Source organism: Homo sapiens, chromosome 1, assembly GCF_000001405.40.
Source record: "Homo sapiens chromosome 1, GRCh38.p14 Primary Assembly".
Lineage (NCBI taxonomy): Eukaryota > Metazoa > Chordata > Mammalia > Primates > Hominidae > Homo > Homo sapiens.
The window spans coordinates 215,040,333-215,060,157 of NC_000001.11; the positions used below are offsets into that span (position 1 = coordinate 215,040,333).

The 19,825-nt window shown below is 37.3% G+C and overlaps 1 protein-coding gene across 2 annotated transcripts in view, besides 1 other annotated feature; it reads left to right on the forward strand.

Annotated features, from left to right (window-relative positions):
* KCNK2 (potassium two pore domain channel subfamily K member 2) overlaps positions 1-19,825 on the forward strand; it is a 231,549-nt gene that overhangs the window by 34,791 nt on the left and 176,933 nt on the right. The gene's annotated exons all lie outside the window — the stretch shown is intronic.
* Positions 15,025-15,743: an enhancer, noted in NCBI's record as "OCT4-NANOG hESC enhancer chr1:215228700-215229418 (GRCh37/hg19 assembly coordinates)". NCBI's record gives its function as "activates a minimal SCP1, AML or CMV promoter by ChIP-STARR-seq in primed H9 embryonic stem cells {active_cell/tissue: H9 hESC(primed)}" and the evidence as "EXISTENCE:reporter gene assay evidence [ECO:0000049][PMID:30033119]".

Sequence of the window (19,825 nt, forward strand, 5' to 3'; positions counted from 1 at the left end):
CAGATGATTAGAGAGGTTGCATAACTTGCCCGAGGTCACACTCCTAGTTCAATGGCAAGATGGAATCTGAGCCTGGGCCAGTTTGACTTTAAAGACATTATTCATTAGGATTACACCAGATGTGGCTCAGCTTCTAAGTAATTGTGTGATATTAGGAAAGATAATTATTCCTTCAGAGCCTCAATTTACATAACTGTGTGACTAATGGGGATCCTGGGGCTTAATAGAAACAGAGATACTTCCAGTTAACGGAAGTATCTGCTTATGAAGCAGGCAAGTGGCTATCACTAGAAGTGAAGACTACCTCTGTGAACTGGCATGATGTAGTAGGAAGTGCTTTGTGGGTTTAGATACAGTGTGGCCACTTGCTAGCTATGAGGTCTTGAGCAAACCAGTTCTCACATCTGTAACTGAGACTCAGCCGGATATCAACTTTCAATGCCCAGCAGCATTAAAATATTCAACAGACATGTCAAATTCTGAAGACTGAGATTCAAATCCAACATTTGACAGGACACCACTGTTTGGGCAACATCTGTGTTTGGCAAATGTGAAGGAACCATGCTGTGTGTGGAGGGCTCTTTAGTCGCTCCCCAACTTGAACTAGCCAAGCAAAGAAGGTCTGAATGAGAACTTCAAGCAACAGCATGAGACCTCAGACTCAAGGCTTCACTTCCTTTTAAGCTTTTGCATTCTTATGTTTCACTCTTCTCCTCATCTACCATCTTATTTCTGGCTAAATTAAGGAAAACCATTAGATGTCCAGCATCAGCACTCAATGTGTCAGAAATCAAACACTCACTTAGAAGATTATGCCTCATTTCATTTTTCCATTTTGTTTTCTTTTTGGAGATTAAGTAAGCGGCTCTGCCACTTCTTAGCGATTTATTTAGAGTAAGTAACTTTTCTTCACTAAGCCTCAGTTTTCCTGTCTATAAACTGAGGATAATAAAAGCCACTTCCAGAAGTTGTAATAAAAATTAAATATGATAGTACACGTAAAGTTCATAACAGAGTGCCTGGTACATAGTATGTGCTAACCCATAGTTAGCTGGTGAGAGGAGCTCAAAAGTATAAAAAGAGGTAAAAATCAAGTGTTGGTAAGTTTTGTTTCTTGTGAGCAATTCTGATCCACAGTGATAGGAAAGGCCAACTTAACTTTTTCCTAAAATGAGGTTGGGAAACTTTCTGGGATTCATATTATCTCTATCTACCTTACTGTGGACACTCAAGAAAATCATATGTAGTCAGATCTTGATATTAGCTAGCTGAAAATGTTGAATTTTAAACTCAGATATTTGTCCTTAAACTATGTGTTGAATTATTTAATTTATATGTGCCTGGATTGTGCACAAAATTAAGACTTCATTTCTACCATTGATGATTTTCAGGTGAGCCAATAAGATTGCAAGCTATATTTTCAGGTCTGTAACTTAAGGAAAGGGCACAGCCTGTTAAACATCATTTTGTCATAGACCATCAGGTTGGATACTGCATTAGTCCATTTTAATACTGCTATGAAGAAATACCAGAGACTGGGTAATTTATAAAGAAAAAGAAGTTTAACGGGCTCACAGTTCCACATGGCCAGGAAGCCCTCACAATCATGGCAAAAGGGGAAGGAGGAGCAAAGTCACGTCTTACATGGTGGCAGCCAAGAGAGCATTTGCAGGGGAACTCTCCCTTATAAAACTATCAGATCTCATGAGACTTATTAACTGTCACAAAAATAACACAGGAAAAACCTGCCCCCATGATTCAATTACCTCCCACGGGTTCCCTCCCATGACTCGTGGGAATTATGGGAGCTGCAATTCAAGGTGAGCCAAGCCCTATCAGATGCTATAAGCTGTATGCTAAGCAAATGCAGAAAGACACAGATAGGACATAAGATCAAGGGCACATGTACTGAGCAAATAATATTTATGCAGAAAGACACAGATAGGACATAAGATCAGGGGCACAAGTACTGAACAAATCATTCCGTTGCATTTTGTAGATGTGGGTTGCCCAGACGGGGTGTTGTCATTAGAGGCCCTGGATAAGAAAACAAGGGATAGGAAAAGAAACTTGGTAAGGTTCATGGAGGAAGTAGAGTGTCATAGGATGGGTCAGTGATAAAGTCTGCCTGATGATTTGTGGAAACAAAGAACATATTCTGGTCCAAATAAAATATTGAGAAAGGGCATCAGCAGAAGTAAAATGAGTAGACAAAGGAAGCACTGAATTAATTTGACTAAGAATAAGAGTAGAAGAGTAGAAAGAACAAACACTCTGTTTTTACAATCACATTTTAAAATTTCAGTCACTGGCACTATTGCTTGATGCTTATTCAAGACACTAAACTTAGTGTCACCTTTTACTTCTCCCTCTTTTATCACATCCTGCCTCTCATTTTATAAACCTCTTGGGTTGATGTACCTACTTTATTCTCTCATAAAATCATGACTTATCTTGCCATTTCCTAAGTGGGCTTACCTCCAGAAAATTTTTTGCAAATACCTGTGTTTTAGCCTAATTAACTTTTTCTAAATTCACAATGGCTCCTACTTACAAGGATACAAGACAAAATGCCAATGTATCCTTTCATTCTAGGCTCTCTTATTGAATTTAATGTTATCTCTTATGACATTGTATAAAAAACATTTACTATGTTTATTGCTATGCAGCCTCTGTGTATTCCCTACTCTCCAGGTGCCCATGATCATGTGATAAACCAGTATGTGCCCTCACAGGTCTAGCAGTCAATATTCAAATCACTTCTTACAATGCAAGTGACTTCTTAGATAGCTATTAGAGGGAAAAAAGCAAAAATTAAGAAGTGTTAGAAAAGATGTGGAGAAGCTGGAATGCTTGTGCATTGCTGGTGAAACTGTAAAATATAGCTGCTGTGAAAAACAGTACGGTAGTTCCTCAAAAAACTATACATAGGATTACCATTGATCCAGCAATTTCATTTCTGGGCATACAGCCAAAAGATTTGAAAGCAGGGACTCAAACAGATATTTGTACACCATGTTCATAACAGCATTATTCACAATAGCCAAAAGGTGAAAACAACCCAAATATCCATCAGCAGATGGGTGATAAACAAAATGTGGTATATGCATACAATGGAATATTACTCAGCCTTCAAAAGGAAGGAAATTCTGACACATACTATGACATTGATGAATCATAAGAACATTACGCTAAGTGAAACAAGCCATTCACCAAAGGACAAATACAACTGCACTTATATGAGATACCTAGAGTAGTCAGAATCATAGAGACAGAAAGTAGAATGGTGGTTGCCATGGGCTTGGGGGAGGGAGGAACAGAGTTAGTGGTTAACAGGTACAGAGTTTCAGTTGAAGAAGATGAAAAAATTCTGTAGATGTATGATGGTAGATGCTTGCACAACCATCTGAATGTATTTAATGCCATATACTGTATACTTATAATTGGATGAAATGCTAAAATGTTATTGTTATATATATTTTACCACAATAAGAAGTCTAAAGAAATCTTGGGGTAGTAAACAAAAAGTTAGATTCTTCCCCCAAATTGACTTAGCAGCATTAACGACAAATGCAAGAAATCTGTAGATGATGCCAAAAATATTAACACAATAAAAAAGATGAGAGAAAAGATAGATGTATAATAAGAATCTCCAAAAGATATAGAAAATAAGGGGATCAAACAAAGATAACAAATAAGAATAATGGAAGAAAATAAGAAATAGTAGAGAAATTTTGCTGAGTCAAAGAAGGACACAAGGTTACAAAAATGTACAGGTTCTTTAAGTACAATAAATTAATGAATATGGAAAAGAACCATATACTTTAATGTGTTTTTTTTCCAAAGTATGTTTAGGAAAATACTAGTCGTACATGATAGTCTGAGCAGGGAGAAAAAGGGCAACCACATGTTAATAATTTTCAGAAGCAGTATAAATATTATACCCTTCTTGGTGCTTTGTACAAAACATCAGATCTAGGAATTCCGGTGGTGAAGAAATCTGTTAATTTTTATTTAGCCCAGACTTTCCCTGGTTTAGTTGAACAAAACACCTAGTAATGTCTCAATACTCCCTTTGGAAAGAATGATGTAATTGATGAAAGTACGTGGGATTTTTGAGTCAGCACCTGGATTTGCATGTTAGTTCTCTGTGTCTCTTGATTTTCTCCTATCAAATGGGAATAATAATAATAACAATAATACCTATATTATAGGTAGATATTTCCTATTAGGGTGCATATTAGAAGTTGTGGTTGCTTGGCAAAGTAACCCATTAATTGATTTAATTAATAGATTAACCAATTATCACCGGTTATAATACCATGCAGTAAAAAGTGAAATCCTGAATAAGTGGAACTACAAATTGATACCATTTTATGGGAACATATAAAAGTTGGACCATAATTAGGGATCCTGATGGGCTGTGGTGGTTTTCTATAACTAGGTACTTGGGGATAAGTGTATGTGTGTGTGTGTGTGTGTGTGTGTGTGTGTGCGCGCGCACACGTGTGTTGATGACGAGTTGGCAAGAATTTCTTAAAAGATTAACAGAGTTAGGCCGGGCACAGTGGCACACGCCTGTAATCCCAGCACTTTGGGAGGCCTAGGCGGGTGGATCACGAGGTCAGGAGATCGAGACCATCCTGGCTAACACGGTGAAACCGCGTCTCTACTAAAAAAAACAAAAACAAAAACAAAAAATTAGCTGGGTGCAGTGGCGGGCGCCTGTAGTCCCAGCTTACTCCTGAGGCTGAGGCAGGAGAATGGCGTGAACCCAGGAGGCTGAGCTTGCAGTGAGCCGAGATCGTGCCACTGAACTCCAGCCTGGGCGACAGAGCGAGACTCCGTCTCAAAAAACAAACAAACAAACAAAAACCAAAAAAAAAAACCACATAAAAAACAAAAAAGATGAACAGAGTTAAAGGCAACTTTGGGACTATCCAAATTGTGAGGCAACAACTATTCTTATCAATAGAATAACCGTTGGTAGTCCAATATGAAACCCAATACTGGTGTTGGGGTGTAATTTGTCTGGGTCTTTGTACTATTAATTATGTCCCTGTATGAGCTGCTGGAGGAATCTAATTTCATTTCTGAATGTGACAATTTTCCTTTGCAAACTAAAATTCAAAGAGAACTGTAATCCTGCTTGTTGCTGTTCATCGAAAGATGACCTTGTAATATTTGAGATAATGATTTTTAAGGATTATGCATATCTTGGGTTATTCCTAAATGCATATGAAATAACTCAAAATATCCATATAACCCTTGTTTGGTTTGATAGACAGCATATGAAAAACCTGTCCTTGAATTATCTAAAAGCCCTCTTTAATTTGTGTAAAATGTGGTCTTGAATAATTTTTTTAAATAAAATAATGCCCCTTAATAGTTATTCAAGATGCCCTATGTCTTCACAATAGGTTTTCCTGGGCTCTCACCTGTAAATAAATTTTCCATTCTGTTGTCCTTGGATTTGCCGTGTTAACAAATGTGTGACTTCTGTAAAAGTGCTGATGTGTGTTTTATGAATGTGTCCCTTGATGCTAATATCAGTACAGTCAATTTGCAGTAATTACTCTGTTGAAGAATTCACCACTAGCAAAACACAGACACATAGTATATTGTAAAAATACCTCCAGAATGTAACACATGGAATTCTACAGCTTTCTGTTGGTTGAATCACACACGTTAATTGTTCATGTAACCGTGGAAAAATCTGGTATAACAAGAATTGTTCACAATACGGGAGTGATTTACACATATTTAGATTTTAAGCTGTACTCAGACTTGTAAATTCTAGGTCATTGCCAGGAAAATAGGCCTAATGGAATTGTCCTCTGGAGTGAATAGAAATATCTGTTACCAGATGGTTTTGATTTGGAAAATATGATTTGAGAAATACAGCAGCTCTACATTTAATAGAGATGGCCCTTGGCATAAAAAGGTATATATTTGGGAAAAAATCCTCGAAGAATATATACATATACACAAATATATGTATATATTCATGAATTTTGGTTTTCAATGCTATATCAGTTTAACATTTTCCAGGTGTTGTGAATATGGTTGGGGACTATATTTGACTAAGGTCAAGTTTGATCTTAGTATTTAAGCATATAGAACTTGGGGAGACTTCATTTTCTGATATAAAATACTCATTTTGTTGCTTGTACTTTCAACTTTGAAAGCTCACAGGCCAAAAACTACATATAGCACAGTTAGGAGAAGGCTGTTGTTAGAATAAACAGGTACAGGTTTTTTTGGATTATCACCATATTCATAGGTTCAGATCAGTTTTCTCAGCTTTTAAAATCTGTATTACTTTGTATAAAGATATTATGTCTTCCTCTTATGTAAAATTTAGAAAAACAGAAATAACATGACTTAAAGACTGAGGTAATGGTAAAAAAATTACATCAAAAGATATATTTCTTGACTTTACCATGGGATATGAGTTTGAGCTTTGGATTTGCTTGCTTGTCACAAGCTTTTGATCCAAGGAAGTATTGAAGTTTGAGCAGATTATAGATCACTTTCAGTGTTAAGCTTGTTGTAAAAAGAGAAACTGATATTTATGAAAATGGAATGATGACTTTATATATCTCTTGTTTCCGGGGTTAAAAATATCTCTATAGTGATGTTCTAGAAACTATCTAAGATGATCAAGTCAAAGTTAATTTCACAACTTCTTAGAGTCTGGAAAACATTGAAAATCATTAAGAATGTGGCTCCTTTTTAAATTCAAAATTGGAAATTTCAGCATCATAATAGGAAATTATTGCCTGATTTTAACTTGCAGAAAATTAAATACGATTTAATGTTCTCCTTGAAAAGATTTAACACAGAAAATGGACAGCTATGTTAGCATAAATTCTCATAATAATAGTGGGTTTTGGACAATACTAATAAAAATAATGTCTTAATTGAATACTTGCCATGTGGCCATTGTGCTAAGCATTTTGCATTAGTTTTAAAAGACACAGAACTTTAGCATTTTTGAATTTTCTAATTTAATTATCAAAACAACTGAGTAAAGAGTTAACATTATTATCTTCATTTTAGAGTTGAGGCATAGTAAGGTTTAGGAACTGAAGTTTCGAGAGATTAAGTAACTTGCCCAAGGTCACACACCTAGCAAATAACAGAACCTAAATTTGAACCTAGATTTCTTTGATTTTTAAGTCTTTAATCTTAATCATAACTTCATGATTAAGTTATGATTAAGATTCTATGATGATAGAATATACATCAATCCTATTAAGCAATGTAAGCAATGGTATTGATGTTTGCTCCCTCTGTTAGTAGAAAAACTTCAAATATCCTAGAAAATTTGCCAAGCTTCTGAAAATTACTTTTTACATGTTAGAGTAATTGAACTTTTCCTCTTGTTTTAATAATGCATACACCTCAGCTCTTATCTTGCACATCTAATCAATCATATTTTCCCTTAACAATTTTTACATGGAATGAAATATTTCAATACAGATATATTCTATGTCTATAGATAGAACTCTGTGAATAGCGGTTAGATCTGTATCAAGGGAGGCAAATAAGCTGGTGTTTCACACACTGTGCAGAGTTTGAAAGTCAATGTGTGTAGATGAAAATGCAGAGAATTCCCCCACAATATTATTTTCTTCATGGAATTTTACCAACAATATTGATCAGAGACCCAGAATTTATGGAGTAACGTCAGTGAACATTCTGATAATATTATTTCCAATTAAGTTTATTGACTTGACAGGCCTTCAAAGATATTCCTGGGTTTTAATATTGGCCTCCTTGGCTTAAGAAAACAGTCTTTATTTTTCCCATACTTGAATGAACACATAGCTGCGTACAATCCCTCATCAACAGATACATCACTACTAATTACAGAAAAAGTTATACTTTTTTTCTTTTATCAATTGTGAATTTGGTATTGACTCTAAGTCATCAGTTCAGCACTTAACCATAGAATTGAAGAAGAAATATTGTGAAAATCTTTTTGTTTTCTCTCTAAGCAAAGTGTGAGTAGCATTCAGACTAAAAGCTTTCATGAGAACTCCAGTGGTGTGAGATTAAAAAGAAATGCTTAGTGATTAAAGGGAAAATTTCATGCAAAATCTTCAGAGCCTTTGTGGTTTTCTGAATATATGTCTAACACCAGCTGATCTTATGTCTTGCTGAGAATCATACTTTAGCAACAAACACATACAACAACAACAAATAAAACAAAACCTCTCTCACATTTCTGTTTTTTAAAAAGGCTTGTATGAATTTTGACTTAAATTTTATTCAAGTCAAATGGGCCACAAGTGTTTTTCCCCAATAATATCCAGAGTAAATTGTATGCCCTTTTTTGCTAGGAGTATGCCTTACCATTGAGTGCTCAACCAAGAGGACAGTAGGGATTAAAATCCAGCCCTACTAATGCATAAAGCTCTGTTCCCTGCTCTGGCTGCGTCAGCCTGGGAGAATTCATCCCAGCCTGGACATGCATCTGAGTTTGCATGTATCAATAGCTTATACTTTGTTTTAATTGCTGAGTGGTATCCCGTGGCATGATGTACCAAACTGTTTAACCATTCATCCATCAACGGCATCTGGGGCACTTCCAGTATTTGGCTATCACAAATAAATCCACAATGGACATTGTATTAGGTGTTTGTGAGCATGTAAGTTTTCATTTCCTTGATGTGGAAGAATGCAATTGCTGGGTCTTAGGATCATGTTTTTATAAGAAACTGTCAAATTATTTTCCAGAGTAGGTATAATATTTTACATTCCCATCAGCGTTATATGAGTGATCCAGTTTCTTCACATTTTTGTCAGCATTTGATATTGTCACTAAGTTTTATTTTAGCCTATCTGATAGATATATAGTGGTAACTATCAGATATTGTATTGTGCTTTAATTTGCGTTTTCCTAATGGCTGAATGAAGTTAAACATATTTTCATGTGCTTACTTGCCATCTTACATCCACTTCAGTGAAATGTGTTTTTCCTGTCTTTTGCTCATTTTCTATCAAGATTTTGTTTACACTGTTTTGAGAGATCTTTATATATTATAGATACTAGTCCACTGTCAGATATATGGTTTACAAATATTTCCTTCCAGTCTGTGGCTTGTCTTTTTATTCTCTTAACAGGTTCTTTCACTGAACAAAAGTTGATAATTTTGATGAGGTCCGATTTATTAATTCTTTTCTTTTATAGATTGTGCTTTTTGTGTCAAGTCAAATAACCCTTTTCATGGCTCTAGGTCTTAGAGCTTTTCTCTTATTTTTCTCTAAAAGTTTTACACCTCTACATGTTACAGTGAGGCACATAATTCATTTTGAGTGAATTTTTGAATAAAATATGAGGTTTAGATTTAGGTTATTTATTTATTTATTTTTTTAGCCAATGAAAGTCCACTTGCTTCCTTACCATTTGATGAAAGTCTTTCCTTCTCCATGAAGTTGCTTTTACATCTTTGTGAAAAATTAGTTGGGGCTATTTGTGTGGATTTAGTTGTGGGTTCTCTATTATGTTCTCAGAATCTATGTGTTTATCCTTCCATCAATATCACCTTACCTTAATTACTATAGCATTATAACAGGTCTTCATATCAGGTAGAGTGATTCCTACCACTTTATTCTTATTTGTCAAGATTGTTTCAGTTATCCTAGAGCCTGTGCCTTCCTCCATAAATTTTATAATAAGCTTATCTATGTCTATAAAAAACCTTGGTGAGATTTTGATAAGAGTTGTATTAAACCTATAGATCAACATGGGGAGAATTGAGATTTTTGCTATGTTGAGTCTTCTAACCCATGAAATTCTACTTTTTGTCTCCTTTGATTTTTTTAATTAACATTTTGTAATTTTCAGCATACAGATTCTATACATATTTTGTTAAGGCATATCTAAGTATCTCATTTTATTTGGAGTAATCATAAATGGTACTGTATTTTAATGTCAGTTTCTACATGTTAGTATATAGAAAAATGACTGATTTGGGGGTTTGAATGATTTTTCAAAAAGTTTTCCGAACTCGAAGATTTCTTGCAGTGTCATGTCATAACTATTCATTAGTTAAGTCATTCAACAGATATCTGCTGGGAGACTTCTCTGTTCCAAGAAGTACTATAGGTGATGGGGACAGTACAATAAAAACAAATAGATAAAGTTCCTGTACTTCGTTCATTCATATTTTAGTAGAGGAACAGGATGAAAGGGAGCATACAGAGAGAGAAATAAAAAGAGAGACAGAACCAATAAAAAAAGTTTGATGTACCAGATAGTGATTCAAGCCACTGAAAAAAATAGTGCAGATTGAAGCTATGTTCAATTTACCTTTCAAACTGGGACATTTTTGAGGATGAGAACTGTCAATAACCAAATGACATATAAAATCAAGAGGTGTAATCTTGGACTCTCCCCAGCAAACTGAGATATATGATCATCTTACTTAAGGTCATGTTAAGTGCTCATTGGAGTTGGGGGTTGCTACTGCCGATGTCCTCCAAGCAAGTCCACTGTAAACAAACTTGTAGTTGAACAAAGTTGAGTTTATTAGCTCCCGGCATCATTACACTATGGGGAACTGTGGGATGTCACAGTAATAGGTTGTTAACAGGGGCTTATTATTGGATTTGAGCTTGTATGAGGTGATTTGGGGGATGTTTCAAGGAAGTGTGGTTTTGATCTTGATTCAGTACTGTCAGAGAGTCAAAGCAATTCTATGGTTGCCTTAATAACCTTTTGAAAGCTTATTTATTTTTATTTTGTAGACAGGGCCTTGTTGCCCATGCTGGAGGATAGTGGCCATTCACAGGTGCAATCATTTTATACCGCCACCTCGAAATCCTAGATTCAAGCAATCCTCCTCCTTCAGCCTCCTGAGTAGCTGGGATTACAGATGTGCACCACCATGCATGGATCTTAATATTAATAATTTTATGTGGAAGATGGAAGGAACAAAGTGTACTGAAGCTAAAATTGATAAAGATAAAGCAGTCACTCATATTAGCAGGAACAAGGAAAATATTTGAGGGTTTCATTAATTTTTCTCTGCTCAGACACAATTACAGAGCTGTCTTGTTTTTGTCTTGATCCATCATATTACAGAGTAAATTTGTCAGATGTGGGTGTACTATAAAATTGTTTATATTCAAAAGGGGAATGCCATACCTAGCCATTAGAGCCAGGGCAGCTCCAAGCTGACAGTAGCCAGGAGCTGCTTTTTCTTTCTTATTACTGTCTATAAAGTAATTGATGACAGCCCTTATGACAAGAGGATGCTTGACCAGAAACCTGGAGGACATGAAAGAGTGAGTTCTGGGATATCTGGGGCACAACATTCAGGCTTGGGAAGCAGCAGATGCAAGGTTCTGAAATGGGAATGTAGCATGTTTGGGAATAAAAGAAGATCCGTATATGGCTAGAGTGAAGTGTGTGGCATGGGAGGGTTAGAAAATCATGTCAAGAAAGTAGTAGTTTCCCAGCTCAGGGGGGATCTTGCAGGTGATTAGAACAGTTTATACTTTAATTTGAGGTGAGATAAGAAAATTTTGGATTGTTTTGAATAGATTTGGTAATATAAAAACAAGATATTATTTTAAGTAAAGAATATGCTCACCTGCAAACAGATAACATTTATTATTATTTCTAACATTCAGTAATTTATTCATCCAGCAAACATTTATTAAGTACCTACTATGTGCCAGGTGGCTGCTCTAGCCCATGGGTGATATTGCAGTGAATAATATGGATATGATATTTCCTGTCATGGAGCTTACATTATAGCAGGTGAGACAGGTGAAAAATGAACAAGTAATATAATTTCAAATAGAGATGATGAATGTAAACACACCGAAAATTAACACAGGGTGAAACCGGTGAAACTAGAGAATCATGGATGGGGGCAGGTTGGTTCTAGGTGGTGGTAGAGTGAGCATTTCTCAATGTAGCAAGAAGCCATTAGAAGTTTTTAAGAAGAGAAATGACATAACTTGATTGCAGTTTTAAAAATATCACACTGCCTATAGAGCAGAGGATGGACTGATGGAATGCAATGGAAAAGGACTGTAGTGGTCCAAGTGAGAGAAGCTGTGGCTTAGATCTAGGTCACATGATGGATTTTGTGGGAGAGATTCAGATTCAGGATAAACATTGGAATTTCAGCTTTCAAGACTTGCTATTAGATTCAGTGGTTCTCAACAGGGGGTGATTTTCAACCCCAGTGGATATCTGAAAATGTATGCTCACATTTTTTGGTGATAACTGTGGAGGTGCTACTAGCATACAGAGGCCAGAGATGCTGCTAAATATCCTGAAATGAACAGGACAGCCCTCTACAACAGGAATTGTTAGCCCCCTAAAATGTCAGCAGTGCCAAGGTTGAGAAACCTTGGATTAGAAGTCATGGGAAAGGATTGTAGATTCCTAGGTTTGGGACATCAGCAATGAGAGAATAGTATTTATTAGTCATTTATTTTTGTGATGAGGAAGAATGGAGGAGGAACAGTTTTGCATCATGACTATTGGGTAGAATTAAGTAGCATATGATAGATGAGCATAATTGTGGATATTTCTCTTGAGTTTTTGCCAGAGTACCAGATTCCTCTTTTTTTCTTTTCTATAAACAGTAGTTATGTCAAAGTTGGATGGTTGGATGCAGGAGATGAGCAATAAGTTACTCATTTTCTCCAAAGTCAGAGGATGCAAACTTCTCATGTTCTCACCTGCAGGTTTTTTTGGTTTCTTTTCTTTTCTTTTTTTAAAAAATAAATTTAATTTAATTTTAAGTTCCAGGATATATGTGCAGGACGTGCAGGTTAGTTCAGCCATTTAACGATGAGTCCGTGGCTTCCATTTGTAAAATGCAGGCAAGGTGAACAAGTCCATGGAAAGACATGAAAACCAAACTCTCAGAAGGGAATGCTACATGTCTTTCTTATCCCAGGAAATTCTGCTGGGATAAGAGTGACAGTGACTGATGCATCTTCCCTAGGTATTCTGGGTGGTGGGCAGGGAGATAGCAGAAATCAATCAGTCAACTGACAAATGTTTGAGGCTCTGGCGTGGGCTAGGACCCGGGTTTAGCCATTGGGAACTTTGTTGACTAAGCAGTAAATGAACAAATGAACAGACAAGTAGGTGATAAGAGATAAAGTGGACAAGGCAAATTAAAACAAATGGTGGAAGATGTTAAATGTACAAGATATTGAATGTTTTTCTGAACAGAGAATTCCTCTGGAAAAGTGATATTTCTATGCTTGAACTCAAATCACAATTGCAACCAGGAAATTCTAGCAAATGAAAAATTGATAAATAAATGAATGCTTCCTCTCTTTTGCATTGTGTTTCTAGCTTACAAAGGTAGAGCAAAAGCCTTAGATAGATATTCTTGAACTCAGTACAATCCCTGGCCGAGGCAGGCAGATCACTTAAGGCCAGGAGTTCGAGACCAGCCTGGCCAACATGGCAAAACCCTGTCTCTACTAAAAATACAAAAGTTAGCCGGGCATAGTGATGCATGCCTGTAATCCCAGCTACTCGGGAGGCTGAGGCAGGAGAACCTCTGGAGGCCGGGAGGCGGAGGTTGCAGTGAGCCAAGACAGCACCCCTGCACTCCGGCCTGGGCGACAGAGCAAGACTCCATCTCAAAAAAACAAAGTACAACCCCTGACTGTTGTGCTTTGAGTGTATTGAGGAGTTTAAAGCTGTGAGTTTTCTCAGTTAATCAAAATCAGTTTTCACCTTAAATAAATGATAGCACAGACAGCATAAGATACAAGTCTGTAATTTTTGAGCTGCAGCTATATTATTCGAGCTGTGCTATTTCTCTAGGTATTAATTCATGATTAAAGAAACCTATGATTGCCGATATTTCCCTTAATGCAGAATTGTCAATGTCATGTTCTTTGGTGGAGAGGAATTTGGTAGGTAGAAGACTGTCAAAGGGAGTTTTGAGTCTTTCTCCACCAAGTCTGAAAGAGTTACTTACACACAGCTCCTTTTAAATGTTAGCTCTGATTGCAGAAACCCCCAGGCCAATTTGGAAAACTGGTGAGAGTTTTTCAAAGGCTGCTTTGTCTTCAGGACCATCCCTGCACCAGGAACACGTAATTCATCACATGAGTATAAAAGGTGCCACATTCTGTTCAGTGTATAGGGAACTTAGCTTCCTCACACATATACCAGATGCATGTTTGAGATTTTCGATTCTCCGGTAGGCTGCACTGCACACCCACCGCTGTTCTACCGAGCTTTGCTGGGGACAGGAAAGCACCAACCGTGAGTTACTGTGCAGAGGGAAAAGTTTGCAAGTTCTGTGTCAAGGTAGCCAGGGTGTATTTTTCTATAAATAACAAGTGATAATGCAAACCATGTAAATCTGTGGAGACAATGAAAATATGACCTGAATGGAGACGTGTTTTGAGTTATAAGGGGGGAATTTTTAGCCTTTTTCCACACAAACCAATCAAGGCTTGCTCAAAAAGACTCTTCTCAGTGCATGTGTACTTTAAATTGTTTTTCATTTTTTCTAATGTATTCTTCCCACAAGGTTTGTTTCTACTTGTCTTTACCAAATACTATGAATGTTCATGTAACCATATCATTAAATCACTAATTTGAACCTTGAGCACACAACTCAAGTGTTAAATCACTAATTTGAATAATGAACATAGAATTAAAATTCTGTGGTAATTGGATCAGATGGATTGCTTATTTAGGCACATTATATGAATATCATAACTTATTATTAAATCTAAAATACATGGAAACTGTGAAAGTTTTGACCTTGAATAACTAGTTTGTGTTATTTTAAAAGTATCTATGGTACTTTGTCTCTTAAAATATACCACCAGTATACCTGGGTACACCTCAAAGAAAGACTTAAGATTTATCACTCTTTGAGTCTGTTCATGGCACCTTTACACGAGTGTCTTTTATGTCCCAATCACTGTTTGCAATTAGAAATTCTCAGTACATGCTCAGAATGTGTTCCCATTTCACAGAGGATATGACACATATCAGTTATTCATGAATACAAAGTAAGCTATGAAAAAGAACTAAAAAAGGAATGTTGCACTGCTCATTGGTTTTAAACAAGATGCAATACAGCATCCCCACAGAACTGCTTCTGTAGCTTCAAGTACATTTACATTCTCAGGAGCTCATGTAGGTAACAAAGGAAAGGAACCTGCTTTTCTAGTTACTGGTTGAAGAGCTTTCATTTTATTATGAGGAAGTAAAATAGGCCCCAGGATGCCCTTTACAGCTTCCTATATTCTTTAAGGTCTCACTTTTCTCCACTTGAATAAAGAGAAAGTTTTCTAGTCTTTCTTCTTTCCATGCTTTCCTCCCACCCTCCATTCATGGCAGTTCAAACGCTTTGCTTCCTGGTTGGATTTCTGTATCTGGTAGGAATGTTTGTTAGGTCTAGCAGAGGAATGCTTGGCACCTGCCATTGACCTTTTGATGTACTTGAGAAATGGCTACAACCAATGAACGTGGAAATTTAAATTCAGTGATTATACATGGCATTGTCCTTGATGGATTCTTCCCTTGTGGCACAGAAAACTCCTGGAGATTTCTCTTTTATGTACAATGGCTTGTGGGCTGCAAATCCTAAAGTCAAAGTTAGGCTTTAAAAATTTAAAGCCTAAGGTCACCTCAAAGATAAATTCATCTGCGTTTCATTTTTAAAAATATGTCAGCTGGGAGTGGTGGCTCATGCCTGTAATCCCAGCACTTTGGGAGGCCAAGGTGAGCAGATCAGCCACTGAAGTCAGGAATTCGAGACCAGCCTGACCAAGATGGAGAAACCCCGTCTCTACTAAAAATACAAAATTAGCCGGGCATGGTGGTGCATGCTTGTAATCCTAGCTACTCAGGAAGCTGAGGCAGGAGAGTCGCTTGAACCCAGGAGAGGGAGGTTACAGTGAGCCGAGATCGCGCCATTGCACTCCAGCCTGGGCAACAAGAGTGAAACTCCATCTCAAAAAAAAAAAAAAAGGAAAGAAATTCATATTACCTGAAGGGGTGGCTTATAATGACACTAAAAATAAAAGAAAACTAGAGGCATAAGATTATCAAGAGTACCTTGTTGTATACATAAACTGGGAGATGGAGGTTGCAGGGAGCCAAGATTGTACCACTATACTCCAGGCAACAGAGTGAGACTCAGTCTCAAAAAAAAAAAAAAAAAAAAAAAGAAGAAGAAGGAGAGAAATGAGTTAATACAATAATGCCATAGTCATGTAAATGTTTTAATGTATAAAAGATTTGTAAAGGATTGTGTCCACTCTTTTTTTTTTTTTTTTTTTTGGTAGTGATGGGGTCTCCTTATGTTGCCCAGACTGGTTTTGCACTCCTGGACTCAAATGATCCTCCTGCCTCAGCCTCCTGAAGTGTTGGGATTACAGGCATGAGCCATCACATCCAGTCATCCACTCTATTTTCGAGGCAGGATGTACATGGGGTAAAAAGTTCAGTCAGGCTGCAGAGACCACAGAACCACATTCAAATCCTGCTTACTATCCCAGAAGCTGAACTGCTTTATAGATAGAATAGGAATATATGAGTAATTATCTAAAATGTTTACTATCATAGAAACTAAACTGCTTTATAGGTAGAATAGGAATAATATGAGTATTTATCTAAAATGTTTATTTAAGAACTACATGTAAATGACTTAACCTCTATCTAGCTAAGAGTGAGTTTGTGTAAGTTTATTACTTTGCCTTTTCATTCTTTTTTAAATGTATACACTGCTACTCCTTTCCTAAACCTGCCCCTAGCCATTTCCTAGCTATATTCATTGTGTTGCCTATTACCCCAAAGTTGGATTAAGCCCATGCTTGGGACAATAGCAAACCAGAGGTACAAGTATTTTTTTTTTTTTTTTGGAGTGAAGTTGAGATATGCATATTTAAGCATAAAAGAGTTATAGGATAATCATATTTTTTTAAAAAAGATGCAAAATGATCTTTTAAGTGCTTATAACCCTGGTTAGGCATACAACAAATGTCCCATAAATGCAGAGGAACTGAACTGGAGGTCAGGGTAGAAGGAGCAGGGCAGAAGGAGTAGAGTCTCTGCAAACAGCATGGCTTTGGGTGTGACAGCTGAGGCAGGACCCACATGGGTGACAGTGAAATATATGGTTTCTGCCTCAATCTGTATCTGTACATTAGGAACAGTGATTTTGTGGAGTGGAAGCTACAGTGACCTGCTTTTATGTTGACTCCACCACTGAAGTTCTTTCTGCTTGAATAGTCTATAGCTTCTATTTTCTGTTTATAATAATAGAAAATTCCATATTAACAATGGCAAGATGGAAGAAACAAAGGTAAGAGAAGAAAGCTTGGGGGCTGCATCAGGGAGAGAAAGGGCAGTGCAGGAAGGAGAAGGGTGCTGTACAGCAGTGGAGGATAGGATGAGAACACTGCCTTCAGAGTCAGACAGACCTGTTTGCACATTTTGGCTTTGCTCCCTGGCCTGGCAACTTTGGGCAAGCTGCTTCATCTCACCAAGCCCAAAGGGGGTTAATCATATCTTCCTTACAGGGAAGCTGCAAGAAATAATTCAGACAATAAATGTGTACCAGTTTAGTGCTCAGTGAATAGTAGTGACAATGAGGGTGATGGTGAGGGGGATGCTGACAATATGATGGTGAGGATGATGAAGGGCAAAAGTGAGAATAATAAAGAGATGGAGAAGCAGCCCCAGGAATAGGGAGTGGGAAAGTAGACTATGAGGAATGAAAAGGGAAAAGGAGAACATGAGAAATTTGTTTTTGAATGCTAGTGGACCTAATTGAAGCTTTGCCTCAAGCTCTCTTCTAGGATACCATCTCTCTGTCCTTCTCACAGCCATGCCCCTTCACTAGATAAATACTTGCAATTCACTGGTTGGCAGAGGTCCTCACTCCTCATGTTTGTGACTTTTTCCCTCTTCCTTTTTTCCTTTTAGGGGATACAGGATTGCACCTTGCACTTCTGTCTTTTAGCAGCAGGAGCTGAGAGTTAATTGAAGACAGAATGCAGGACCATTAGTTATGCAGATTGGAGTTGGATATATGCTTTTTCTCCTCTATATATCTTTTCAGAGAATTCGTGATTCCTCTTTCTCTCACCCATCAATAATTCTAAATCCTGTTACTTTTACTTCCAAAGTATGCGCTAAACTTATCCACTACCTGTTTCTACTACCTCACTACCACAAGGATTTCTATAACGACCTTTGTTTCCATTTTTGCCTCCTTCAATCTTTCTTCAAAGATAAAGTAATCCCCCACTTCCAATTAAACCTTTGCAGTGGCTTCCCATTGTACTATGTTTAAAATCCAAACCCTTTCTCCTTGTTTACAAAGCCCTACATAATCGCCCCCCTGACCTTTCCAATTTCATTCCACTTTTCTCCTTGCAATCTACCCTGGAGCCACAGTGAAGATGTTTTTCTCTATGTTTCTTGAACTTGCCAAGTGTTGTTCTTTTCCCCTTTAGGGCCTTTTGAATGCCTGTTTCTTTTCTTTCTTATCTTCATAGCCAGACTCCTTCTTGTCATCCTGATTTTAGCTTAGAAGTCACTCTCTGAGGGGCTTTAGATGACCTCTCCATGTGAAAGTCACTCAGTCTTTTGAGTCACAGTCCACTATTTTGTTTCTTTACATGAGCTCTTCTCACTTGTTTTTCTGTTGTGTGTGAGTGTATGTATGTATGTGTGTGTGTATGCACATATACATGTGTATATATATATACACACATACATATATATATTCGTGTATATATATACACACACATACATATATATATTCGTGTATATATATACACACACATATATATATATACACACACACATACATATTTATTTCCCCCTGTCCCTAGAATTTTAGCTCCAGGAGAGCAGAGGCCTTGCCCATCTAGTTCACAGAATCTTTCCCTAGTGCCAAGAGATGTGTGCAGCATATAATCTGAACCTAATTATTACTTTAGTGAACGCTGCTGAATTAATGATTTAACCTCTGAACACAGAATCCTTGCCAGTATTTGAAATTTATAGGTAATCAACCCTATATTTAAGCCAATAAGTCTGAAAGCCTTCCGAGTGCTCCCTTAATTTGGTAAGTTAGTAATGAGTAAAATTTGCTAAGTCAATAGTCAGAAAAATAGCATTATATACTATATAGAGAAAAATATTAATAAGATATTTTCTACTTTCAATGTACACACAGTTCTCCCAAGTCAGCTCAAGGTATCCATCGCCTTGGGGTGAAATTGGGATTAGAAATGTTTGGAGACTGTTGAAAGAGAAATGATTTTCTAAAATTCTATAGCTCCCATTTAATGGTTCAAAAGGCCTGGCCCAACTAGATCACAGAATTTTATTTGTGGGCAAAAAGAAGAGGAAGTAAAAGACAAGGCCATGTTATCTGGGCCTAGACAAGGGGAGAAAGATAGAAAAGAAGAACTGGGAGGTAGAAGGTCAGAATCCAGAAATGCATCCTCTTCTCTCCTCTGGTCTGAACCCCAGGACTTCAGATGTGTGTGTTACATAAGCCTGGGGAACACCCATGGCTGACGTTCTGTGGCATCTGTTCCCTTTTAGAGAGGAGACCCTCCAGCAGGGAGGTGCTGAGGCAATGTAGACAGATGGGCATGGGGCTTCCGATGCAGTTGACGGCACATCAGCATGGCCAGGGACATGGAGTGTCCAGGTTGTGACAGAAAGTAAAGGTACTCCCTCCTCTTAGTTGTGATATTTGCTCCCTTCACTTTCCCTGTGGCTCAGGTACTGAGGTGAGAGCCAACAGGCCTGCCCTGGACCTGTAGACCTGGCAGAGATTCA